We start from the raw sequence: 13,005 nt of genomic DNA, 5'->3' as shown, positions 1-13,005 counted from the left end.
CAGAGGAATGGAACTGCATAGAGTTTGGGTGGAAATACAAATTGTTTGAGATGCCTGGAACAAAGGTTTTGGTGCGTGTATGTGTATGTTATGGGAGGGGGAGGGTGGTGGAATCTCACACTAGAGGGAAGGAGGCTGAAGATCCTGAAGAGGCTCAGAGACTTCAGGCCATGCAGACACAACTGTATACCACTCCTTCTATCTTTGGGCTATGGTGCTTTGCTTCCCCATTTCCTTTCCCCTCCCCTCCCCTCCTCTCCCCTTCTTTCCTCTTCCCTCCCTTCCCTTTCCCTTCCCTCCCCTTCACTTCCCTCCCCTTCCCTCCCCTTCACTTCCTTCCCCTTTCCTCCCCTTCCCTCCCTTCCCCTCCCTTCCCCTCCCTTCCCTTCCCCTCCCTTCCCTTCCCCTCCCTTTCCCCTCCTCTCCCCTTCACTTCCTTCCCCTTTCCTCCCTTTCCTCCCTTTCCATCCCTTCCCCTCCCTTCCCTTCCCCTCCCTTTCCCCTCCTCTCCCCTTCCCTTCCGTTACCCTCCCTTCCCCTCCCTCCCCTTTCCCTCCTCTCGCCTCTCCTCCTCTTCCCTTCCTTTTCCTTCCCCTTCCCTACCCCTTCTTCCCTTCCCTTCCTTCTCTCTTTCTTCCTTTCCCTCCCTCTTTCCCTTCCCCTTCTTTCCTTCCCTTCCATCTCTCTTTCTTCCTTTCCCTCCGTCTTTTCCTTTCTTTCTTCCTTCCTTTGTTCAGCATTATAATTCACATACCATACATTTTACCCATTTAAAGTGTACAATTTGATGGATTTATATTCACAAAGTTGGGCAACCATCATCATAATAAATTTTATTATATTTTTATCACTTCCAGAAGAAACCTTGTACCCTTTAGCTATTATCCCTCAACCTCCTATCCTTCCAGCCCTAAACAACCAAATTTTTTTTTGTCTCTGTGGATTTACCTATTCTGGACATTTCTTAGAGATGGAATTGGGACTTACAGTTTCTGGTTAGGCATGTAAGGAGTTTGGAAGTCACCACTCCATCCTAAGGAATAAAAAGCTGAACAAACGGAAACATCCACAACTCTTTAGATCCATCAGAGAATTGAGATCACAGGGCAAACTGCTGTCCTCTAAATTGTAGAGGCAGACAGGTAGACACGGAGAATCACAACTTACAGAAGCTGAAACCAGGAGAAGAACCCTCCACAGGGAACAGCGCTGAAGTAGTTAAAACTGGAACTATAACCAACAAATTGCTGGCGGCTCAGTATGGACAAGTCTCAGAGTGAAAAACTCCAGGACGACTGGGTCATAGGGGTTCTGCATACTTCTGTGAGTTTTAACTTCTGGGGCTCAACCAGGTTCTCACAGTGACTATCAGAGAAAAATCTTCTCATTCATTCAGCAGGAGATTGGGAAAAGGAACCATTTTAAAATACAACAGAACATTCTGTTCTTAACAAGGTCTGCACTCAGGAGAAACTGTTTTACCAGAGCATAAACTATTGGGGTTTATCAGACCCTAACTGACTTAGAGGATGGGAAACACCCAACTCCAGCCCACTGTAGCCATCTTGTCCCGCCTAAAGGGGGCTGGGCTGAGAACACCTGTGAAGTTCACAGTTCGCAGGCAGAGGCTCACTAAATTAAGACCTAATTATAGGACTACAGATTACTTCCCCTCCCCACACCTCGCCACCACATTATTAAAGGCCTGTTTACAGCAGTTCCTTTTACCCAGTATATCATACCCAGCTATCAAGAAAATTAAGTTAAAAAAAAAATATTACCAGGCATACTAAAACTGAAAAAAACACAGTTTGAAGAGCCAGAGCAAGCCTCAGAACCAGACTCACATGTGGCAGAGATGTTGGAATTATTAGATCAGGAATTTAAAACAAATATGATTAATATTTGACTCTACTGGATAAGTAGACAGAGAGCAAGAACAGATAAGGCAATGTAACCCAGGAGATGGGAATTCCAAGAAACAAGAGAAAATGCTTCAAAAACACTTCAACAGAAATAACAAATGTCTTTGATGGGCTCATTGGTAGACTAGATAAGGCTGAGGAAAGAATTGCTTGAGGATATCTCAACAGAAACTTCCAAACTGGAAAGAAAAAGATGGAAAAAATTAGACCAGAAAATCCAAGAACTGAGGGACAGCTATAAATATGTAACATGTAGATGGAATCATACAGTATGTGGCCCTTTTTAAATGGTTTCTTCCACTTAGCAAGTTTTTTTTTTTTTTTTTTTGCAGCTGCAGAGTCAACAGCAGTCCTATTTCCCCTAAATTTGCAAAGGGATAGTGAGCTCATGGGAGAGAAAAAGAAAACAGGAAAACAGTGATGGGGTATTTGGGGACTGAAAATGCAAAACTAAATAGATGCAAAGTTCATTTTAAGACATTTTCTTCCTGGGACCATGGCTTACTCCCCAGGTGTAAATATTTCTCTTATCAAAAGACTTCCTTTTGTTTTGGGCAATGGGTAATTTATCTGGAGTCCTTTGGCCTCTAGATTATGTCTTAGTATACCGGTTGGTAGAGAGTCCCTCTCTTTCCCGCTGTTGTGTTGACATGGCCTCCATTAAACACCACAGAATTTAGGATTTGTGCTGCTTGCTTCTTTATGAGGCTGGTGCCTGATAGTGGGGCCACACAAAACTGCTTCCCCTCCAGAACAAACTTGATGAGCTGATAAGTGATATAGCCATGCCCGGTACTGTTTTCATAAGTGGGTTAAATTCACATTTGCAAATTCAGTAGAGCAGCCCTTGTCCATCTCACTGTGTCGCTGTGCAGAGGAGCTGAGTTCTGAAAAGCTCTGGTTTCCTTCTCTGTAAGCCTTGCTGGCACATTTTCAAAGACCACATCAGTCAGTGTGAGTGGTCCTGGGTCCTTTCCATGCAGCTGGCTCAGAGTTTTACAGACCCTGTAACAGAATCTCATAAAGACTGGCTGCCATTTGGGGTTAAAGTCTGGTGCTTCTCCCTCTTTTCTTGTATGAAGATTTGATTTTTAGATTTGTTTGGAAAATGACTTTGTTAGCCTAAATCATCTTAGGCTTCAATGTTAAAATAGAGTGGAATATGCAGTAGTTGACTCATACTATTGTAGCTAGACAACTTGTCACTTAATACTTCATGACTTTAGGGATTGGTTAAATTAATAATTTTATAAGGCACATAGACGCCAGAGAGCTTCCTCCATTTTGTTCTTTTCTCTAGCAATGTGCGTCATCATTACACCCCTACCAAATAGTGTATTTTAGAACCTGTTATGCATAACTCTGCCTCTGCTTTCACTTTCTGTTTCCCTCTCTCTCTGCCTCTCCCTCGGCCTCTATGTCTCTTTCATTCACTCTTACTTATATATACTAAAATATTGCAAATTCGCTCCCTAATAATTAGGAAGTTTTTTGCATGTGGCTTGAGGTTGTCCTTCAAAGGTTTTAAATATGTGTTGATGAGAATAGGCATAGGGAGGCAGGTGTGGGACAGCAGATGGAAGGGATGCTCTGTGTTCAAAGATCCCACCCTAGTGAAGTGAAGCTTCTACCTGGGGTTAAAGACCAACTTCCTGATTGTAACAGCTGTGACCCAGAATCTACTCTGGGGTTGACTTCTTCTGAGAGCTGATTTGGCTGTGTGAGCCTGGAATACTGAAGTCAGGAGTGGGAGCAGCAGCAGCGACAGCAGGAGTATGTTTGCCATCAGGCATCAGTGAGCTCCTAACCCCTGGCCAGCCCGGTGTGGTGGGAAAGCACAGGTTTTGCAGTCAGGGGAGCTGGGTTGGAGTTCAGGGTTCAGCCATTTACTAGCTTTATGGTGCTGGGCAATTTATTCAATATCTCTAGTCATCAATTTACTTTTTTATTGTTGTAAAAGAAATACCTCATGTTGGTTATTGTGAAGGTTAACTGAGCAATGAATGTGCAGGTATGGGGAGTTTCAGATGCAAGCTTTGTCTCTGTCCCTTGAGAGGACAGTGTGTCATGTGACCCATTTGAGAATACCAGTGATTTAGCGCAAAAAGTTGCTTTATCTCTTCATTCCTTCAATTTTTTGTTAATACATTTGCTCATTCATTCAATGCTGGCCACGAAGCATGTGACACCAGTCAGGTGTTGGGGATACTGCTGTGAAGAGTCCGACCCTCTCCTCCTCCTACCAGTCTGGGGGAGATGCTGACCACAAATGACAGTCACAATCCAGTGTGGAGAAGCACCACACTGGGGAAAGTACAACATGCTCTGGTGGCTTTGGAGTGTCAGACAACAGAGCGGGGAAGAGGTTAGGAAAAGAAGTGGCCCACAGGATAAAAACAAGCAGCTGGGTGAAGGTGAGGCAGAGGATGTAGCATGGCACACAGCAGTGGTGAAGAAATGAGGATGGCGGGCCCTCTGTAGATAGGTGGACATGCCTGGAGTATCGAGTGTGAGGGTCGTGTTGAGATATATACAGAGATATGGAGCCATCACAAGCTATCTGCACCCAGGAGCTTTCTCCTGGCCTCCCCAGTGACGTTCTGTACCTCAGATGTTGATTCCATGGATGCTGTCATCACCAAAGATGGGATGGATGCTGGGACACTCCTAGCACTTAGAGTTAGAACTTGCAATACATGTTTCCCGTAGAAACAGCATGTTAAATGGTAGTTCAATGTAGTTAGGATATTGCTACAAATAACACCTTTGAGTGTACTTAATTTAAACCTGTGAAATGTAGAAAAATCAAAGAGGACAGGTCCTGTTCCAGGCTAGAGGTACTTTTTGCAATGCAGAGCACTATCCTTCTAGATCTGGCCAGCAGAGCATGAATCGGGACCTCAGGCTGGCTTTGCCTGCATTTGGATTTGAATTTGAATGTTTTGGTCTAGGAGGCTCTCTGCACAGGGTTTCCATGATTCCATCACTCCCTGCTGTTTCATATCTGGCTGACTTCCTCACAGTGAGGTTGCCTACTTGCCCCTGGAGGTACTGGACTTGGAAACCCTTTCTCTAGGCAGTAGGGGTTGGAGATAGCATCATCGTTTCCGACTGATTCATCATCAGCTTGGTGTTAGTCCACTTACAAAGTCAAGCATGACAGTTGAGGCAGTGTTTGGAGGTGCCCTCTGACTTTCCACCAAATGCTTTTTTTTTTCTTTTCACTTCTTCCAATCCTCCTTTTTTTTTTTTTTTTTTTTTAATCATTTCCTCTAGGCACTTTTCTTTTCTAGGGCAATTGAATTCAATTCAGCAAAAGTATATGGGACGTCTTCTATGTGTCTGGTACTTAGGATGCGAGGGATAACAGAGCACAGTGTCACTTTCAGGGAGATCACAGTCTAGCATGAAGGGGTGGGAGACAGACAAGTAAAAGGGCTGGTTCTAGATGGTGAGGTGGATGCCCTGATGTGGCAGAGGCTAAAGAAAAACCAATGAGGAGTACCTGAGCCATCTTGGGGATGAGGAAGAGGCCAGCAGGAGTTAGCTAGACAACTGCAAGTACACTCCAGGCACAGGGTCAAATGGGAGCAAAGGATCAGACACTTAGCAGGGTGCACTCAGCATCCTGCAGGATTGAGCAAATGGCTGGGGGCAGAGCCAGGGAGAGAGACAAGAACCGTGAGAGCTGAGGATGGGAAGGCCAGCTCCTGCCTTTCCTGTCTTTCCCCAGTGGCAAGTAGGGTAGTACTTAGCATCTCCTGGCACCACTCCAAGCTGAGATGGGCAGTGACCCTGGCCCTGTAGGAAGCCTGTATTTTTCAAAAGCTTCTTTAGAGAAAAGAGCCCCAGGAGAGTAGAGGGCCTGAGTCTGCACTGGCAGGAAAAGTGGACTAAATTCAGGCCAGACTCAAAATAGCTCCTGGAGGTTGACCAGATGGAAATTAGATTACTGCTGTATGTGGGCATAGCACTCAGGAGGCCAGTAAAACAGTGAGAACAAGGGAGTGATCCCTTCTAGAGAACGGGGTGCAAATGTTACAAAATATTTGTGAGCCATGACTTTTAAAAAAATTCAAACGCAAAGATTTTTTTGAGTGCCACAGGGGAAAAATTACTTTGTTAATAGATGAGTATCAAGAGATCAAGAGGATTGTCAGTCCTGCTGTTTAAAATATTAATATCTGGACAAGTTAGGGATGTAACAAACTGCAGCCAGCTTTTTAATGTTTCTTCCTGAGCTCAGAACAATTCAGTCATTCTCCTTAGGTTGCTGTAACCAGGCATGTGGTATCCCATTAGGAAAATGCACCCAACCTTAGACAAGGGCTAGTCTGTAACTCTCTTGTGTCTGTCTGTCCCCTGGATTTACGTGGAAGACCACCTGCTTAAGATAACCCAGGGCCAGGTGCTATGTATACCTGTACCATCTATGCCACTTTGGTTTTCTTCTGTCATTACTGTGTTGTTTTGGGAACTTGGTTCAGGGAAATGATGATGCCAGCAGGGCAGATTCCCTGAGCTGCCCAGAATCCCAGAGGGTACCCCTGGGGCAGGCGGGTATGGTTTACTCATCTTCAAGCTGCAGGAAGTAGTGGCTCCAGGATAAGCACCTCAGCCTTCGGAGAAGGACGGGCTTGGGGAAGGGAGATTTTAATGTAGTGTAAACAAGACAGAGGATTTCATAAGCTTCTCGGAAACTCCTGGACCTGACACTCATCATCTGCTACTAAATTTGGCCCTTTCATGTTCCTTGCACAGGATATAATGGCAACCATGACACAGACTCTGGGCTGAATTTAGATAAACAACATGGCTGCTGAGGATTTGTACCTGTTAAAAGTCTAAGAAATGTCAAAGGTTGTAGTAAGTATGACTCAGGACAATTTCATTTAAGTTGTCAAAAGTAGGAAAAAGTCAGCAGTATAGCTGATCACTCTCTTTTGTGCTTTTTTGCACTTGTAATTTCCATGACTCTCACTAAACTGCGGGAGGTAAAACTATTTTTGTTCTCTGGGCTTTTGCGTCGTGTGTAAGCTGATTCCCAAGTTTGGGTAATATTGTGGAAAGCGTCAGTACCACCACTGAAGCCTCCTGGAGCCCCATCACCTCCACCCTCTTCCCGGGCAGGTGGAGTGAATCTCCCTGACTTTGAATTTCCAGAGTACTCGTGCATGCCTCGATTACAGCACTAGTTGCTTACAGCAAATTATCTGTTCACGAGTCTGCCTCCCCCACTGATCTTTGACCCCCATAAGGGGTTCTTTCATTGCCTTTTGTATTCTCAATGTGAGGACAGTGCCTGGGACACAGTAGGCACATATTTGATGCTGTGCGGTCATCCTGATTCTGGAGGATGATGTTTTTGGTAGTCAAATGACAATGGAATAGAGCCCCATGGAAAGACAGTTCGGAGGTAGAGGAAGGAGCAGAGAATTTGGAGACCAGAATTCCTTTTTTATTTATTAGATGTTCCTGTCACTATGGGCCAACCATCAGTTTGACCTTTTGTCTCCCATGCAGTGATAATAGTGCTTTCCTTCTAGATTTTTGGGAGAGAATTAAATGATGCAATAGATATGAAAATGACTTTGCGACTGGGCTGAGTTTTATGGAGGAGAAGCATCATCATTAATGAAAAGAAGCAACTGTAGCCAGGGATTGGGACAATCACACTGCTGTGTAGTTTCCTCACATGCTCTTTGGATGATCTTGGGCACGTAAATTACTTCTTGCCTGTTGTGGATTCTTCATCTCTAAGGAAATTGTCAGTTCTATTTCCCAGGGTCGTCGTGAGGATCAAAAGAGATAACACACGTGAATATAGTTTAAGATTATTTGATAAAGGGGGGATGAGTTTGTCCAGGGTCTTCCTTTTGTCTATTTTCTTTGCTGTCCTCTTGTCTGTCCCTGCCTCCACACCACCAATTCTGGGCCTATGTACGTGCATGTAACCCAGAGGGTTCTTGGCAGTCTGCTATGAGGATGGGATGGAGGAGGGCAGTGGAAGCCACCTGTGCTGAAAGCCCCCTTTTGGGGAGATGCTTTCAGGTGTACAAACAGACACATACATTTCTGATATATCTGTATCCAACTGGGCCCAGGTAATGCTTGCCACTCTTAAATAAGATCAGCTTTTTCTGTCAGCAAGACAATGTAAGCAGTTAGGGTTCTTCCCTGTGCACTGAAAATAAAGCACTTTGAAGCCTGATTAAGTAGATAACCAGGACCCTAGATTCACCAAAATTATGTTGCTACATTAGTATTTACAAGAAACATTAGCAAGCCAAGGCACACAGCTGGTGTGTCAGGGTATATGTTAAGACAGTAATCTGTGGTCTGTCCTCTGGTAGAGGAATACAGTTGGGTGAGACTCTGTTGTACTTTATTCATTTTATCCCAAGTTTCTCTTTCCAACAGGTCTTTTAGATTGTGAACTCCCAGAGAAGAGAGACATGAGGGATCTTGGGGTGTCAAGTGGAAGCTGAGAGGGAGCAGACGATATCCCAAGCCTGGGGGGCTGTTAGAGATTGGTGAACCCACCAAGTGACAGCATTTTCACCCTTCTCTGTCCACACCCCAGGTTAGCAATAAGACATGGGCAGAAATGGTTGTGTAGAGTTCCCAGAAGGACTGAACCCCAGGGAATGAGGCTACTGGCTCCAGCACCAATTGGATTCCTCTGCCCCTTACACAGGCTGGGAAGTACCAGGCACTCAGACTTCAAGAGATCATGTCAGCTCTTTGTTTGACCCTGGTAGGTCAGAAAACCCCAGTAGGTACTGAGACAGGATCTTGAAACCATTGCTCAGAGTTGGATTTGATTAAAATAAATAAATGTGACATTTCTTGGGTGGCTGAATATGAGCAAACTTACTCTCACTTTGTTGGCACTATTTATTTTAGAAATTTGACTCCCATGGGGCTCTATGGGGTCAGTTGATATCCAGTCCAGTTTCTAGCATCTACATCTTCAGGAATGTAGGGGTTCGAAGTGTTGGCAGTGGAGCAAGAGGAAAAGCTGACAGCCAGGTTTCAGAAGTCAGACTGGCGGGGTGTAGTGGAGACTGCCATTCACCTGAGCTGGGAGTTCAGGTGTCTTTCACTTCTCTTCCCATTGAGAATCTTTCAAAGCCGTGGAAGTTGTGACAATGGCAAACCACTAACCAGGTACCATGCTAAGAACGTAACACACATCAACTCATTGTTGATGTCAATACCCATAGCAACTTTGGGAGCTTCCCATTGTAGAGATAAAGAAACTGTACAGAGGTACAGAGATGTGCAAGATCACAGAGCTAGTCAGAGATTGAGCCAGGAGTGAACCAGGTAGCCCATCTTCAGAGTTCATGCCCTTAGAAACTGCATTCTTCTGCCCGTCCATCTTGACTCATCTAAGCTGGGTTGTTAGGTGTCATTTGCATATTCTTTTGTGGTAATTAAGAGGTAGAGTACTTATTTTTTTTAGGACAAATCTGTAGAAGTCCTAAAACAAAAGGGGATCTCTGGATAACTCTTGGTTGTTTCATGTCAGCAGTACAAAGCAATTCTCCTCCTAGCACATTTTGCTTAATCTAGATTTTGCGTCAACAAATAACTTTCAGTAACTGAGGCAATCTTGAAGCGGATTAGAGCAAATTCCTCCTGTGCTACTCCATAACTAAACCAAATCTGGTCTGGTCTGTGGGGCTTGTCTTTGGAAATGCTGAGATATAGGGAGTGGCAGGGTGAAATCACAACATTCTCTTTGCTTTCTGGCAAGAATGTTGAATTCTTACTGAGCGGATGTGGCAAACACAGAGTGGTTGGTTTTATCTGAACCGTTCCATTAAAATGAAATTTGACTAGGGATTTGAAGAGTATTATGACTACCTTGGGGAATTCCTGTGTGGATGTAAATAGAGCTTAGTATTTGTTTATAGGTAAATACCCAAAAGATCATCACAGGTGAGGGTTTAAAAGATACAGCAAGAGTAGCTTTTAAATCAGGGCTTTATTTTATATGTGGGTACTTCGCACATAGCACTAATTTCTGGATATGAAGATGACATTTCTTATGGTACTTTCAACTCATAGTTATATAGCAGAGGATTCATATAAAGACAGGTATATTTGTGCTCTATGTAGGTTTTAATTTTATCCTTAATACTAAGAGAGAGTAACATCCAAGTGACTAGAAGCTTCCCTTGTTAGAAGCCTTGAAACTGCTCCATTCCTCCCCTCTTTCTCCCTGCCCAGGGAATCTACCACAGGGCTTTTTGCTGCAATCAAAATAAGGCTCAGCAAAGAGCAAATCATTGAATGCAAGTCATCTGGGAGGCCCCTCCCAGCCATTTTGTCCTTAGTGCCCTTATACTACTTTTCATTTCTGATCCAGCTTTCCCCTTGGACTGAGATTTCTGACTCTCTGCTCCAAAGCCATCTGTCCATCCATCCATCCATCCATCTGTCCATCCATCCATCTATCCATCCATCCAGCCAGCCATCCATCCAGCCAACCATCCATCCATCCATCCAACCATCTATTCATCCATCCATCCAGCCAGGCTCCCATCCATCCATCCATGCGTCCATGCATCCATGCATCCATCCACCCACCCACCCATTCATTCATCCAGCCAGCCAACCATCCATCCATCCAGCCAGCCAGCCATCCATCCATCCAGCCATCCATCCATCCAGTCATCCATTCATCCATTCATCCAGCCAGCCAGCCAGCCAGCTACCCAGCCAGCCATCTATCCATGTGCCCATTCATTCTCCTCCTCAGGTATTATCTATTCCCTGCCTTCTCCACACTAGTCCTTCTTCAGTGCCCCAGACCCTCCTGCATTGGCTGTCCTTGCGGGGCCTGTGGACTTCCAGTGGCTCCTTCTCTCATCACACAGGGGTATGCAGGGCACTGTGAGGCCATCCTCAGGCTCACCTTCCAGGAGCCCCCTCCTGGCCAGTCTGAGTCCACTGTTGTGCTGGGGTGGCTGGTTGGCAGTTCCCATCCAGCACACCCCTCTGTGATTGGGTCTAAGCCCACATGCTGGAGTGGGAGGAGGGGAAGTTTGGGGGACAGAAGGCTCCACTTCTTTCTGTGTGGTGTGAGCTCCCTTGCATACCTTCTTTTATGCCCTGCTATGCATGGTCAGCTGGAAAAGCTTTGAGTCTTTATACATTGTTTTGTTTTGTTTTTAAAGCTTTAGAAACCCTGATAAAATCCTTTCTCTTACCAGTTGTTCTTACTTCTTTCTTTTTTTTTTGAGATGGGGTCTTGCTATGTTGCCTGGGCTGGTCTCAAACTTCTGGGCCCAAGCATCCTCCCACCTCAACCTTTTGAGTAGACTTACAAAGTCTATCGCCTTTAGGGTGAAGAACAATTTGAAATTCACAGCATAACAATGGTGTCTTTCCTCCAGTTAGCACGTCCCCTTCCTGGGGCTGCGAGTCTCAGCAGCACCCTCCAGTGTTGCTGGCAGATGAGTAGGGTCAACAAAGGGCCTCTGGGAAGACACAGCAGGTGAGAGTTCAAAGCACCCCTGACTGTGTGTGAGCCCACCTGCATGTGGATTTATCTTCCACAGACTGTCCTGCAGTGGTGCTCTTTTTCATGGGACATGGGAAGCTGCTTTCTTTTTATATTGCATTCAGATTCTGACATCAAAACTTGAATGGAAGTTCTTGATCTGGGAATCCCTGCCCACAGCCCTAGACCTGAGTGCATGGGAAGCTCTGTGCTGGGCTTGGCCATCACACTGCATCATCTCTCTCCCACTGCCCCTAGGAAATTTGGCCTCAGGTCTGTCCTGAAGCAGCAGCCCTGGGGTATGACCATCTGTGAGGCTGGCAGACTAGGGAATCCTCTGGGAGGGGGACCCTCCCTAAATTTAGACTCTTTTGTCAAGTGCAGGCACTCTCTTAAACTTAGACAGCTTGATGCTTGTTTCCTAAGGGTGTAGACAACAAGGCTACCTGAAGAGCTTCAACATTTGGCCCTGGATTGTGGCTACAACCATCTGTCTGACATAGTGGCACTCCTCCCAGCCATACTGAGGGAGCACTTCCTAAGTTTCTCATCTTTATGGCCTCAGAATTCAGCCATTCCGTACTGTCTTGCCTCTGTCTTTGTATATATTTATTCCCTCTTAGAACACTTTCTACTTGTAGTCTTTGATTCAACACACATTCACCCAACTAGCTTGGCACTTCTCTGGGCACCAAACCTGGTTTAGGTCCCATTTGTCCTTTGGGCCTTGCCCATCATTTAATTCCATCTACTTTGATTACTTTTCTCTCCCTTTTCCATCCTTTTCCTTTTTCTCCCAACCCTGAATTAGAGGCTCCTCCTCTGATGGCTTAGAACCTGTTGCAAATTCTTCTCACAGCAGTTACCCCAGGTATTGCAGTTGCTTCCTGGACCAGTTTCCTTTCCGACCTTATGATTTATTATTATTTATTTATTTATTTATTTATTTATCTATTTATTTTTTGAGACAGAGTCTCGCTGTACTGCCCAGGCTGGAGTGCAGTGGTGTGATCTCGGCTCACTGCAACCTCCGCCTCCTGAGTTCAAGCAATTCTCCTGCCTCAGCCTCCTGAGTAGCTGAGATTATAGGCACGTGCCACCATGCCTGGCTAATTTTTGTATTTTTAGTAGAGGTGAGGTTTTGCCACGTTGGCCAGGCTGGTCTCGAATTCCTGACCTCAAGTGATCCACTCGCATCGGCCTCCCAAAGTGTGACCTTACAATTCTTGAGAGGGCAAAGATAGCCTCTGGTTCATCTTTGCATTCAGCACCTACAATACTATCCACACATACTAACTGTTCAATAAAATGCACTAAATGAATGAATAAATGCATGATCATTTTTATGTATTTTACAAATACAAAATACAAAATCCTGGTGAAGAATTGGCTAAGAAGATATTTTTGGGACTGGGAAAACAAGCAAGAGCTGGTTTAGTATGATTTTCATTGTAACCTGACCTTGAGGCTCTAGGCTGAGTAAACAAAAGATGAGAGACAAAATATTGGATTTAAGAAATGTAATTGTCTCCATGTTTAAAATTTTAAAAATCTGATGCTATTTGA

At 44.9% G+C, this 13,005-nt stretch overlaps 1 annotated feature.

Moving 5' to 3' along the window:
• Positions 3,204–3,383: an enhancer, noted in NCBI's record as "active region_7672". NCBI's record gives its function as "activates an Ori minimal core promoter by ATAC-STARR-seq in GM12878 lymphoblastoid cells {active_cell/tissue: GM12878}" and the evidence as "EXISTENCE:reporter gene assay evidence [ECO:0000049][PMID:35858748]".

This window comes from Homo sapiens, chromosome 13, assembly GCF_000001405.40.
Source record: "Homo sapiens chromosome 13, GRCh38.p14 Primary Assembly".
Classification (NCBI taxonomy): Eukaryota; Metazoa; Chordata; class Mammalia; order Primates; family Hominidae; genus Homo; species Homo sapiens.
This window is presented reverse-complemented; position numbering and strand designations above follow the sequence as displayed.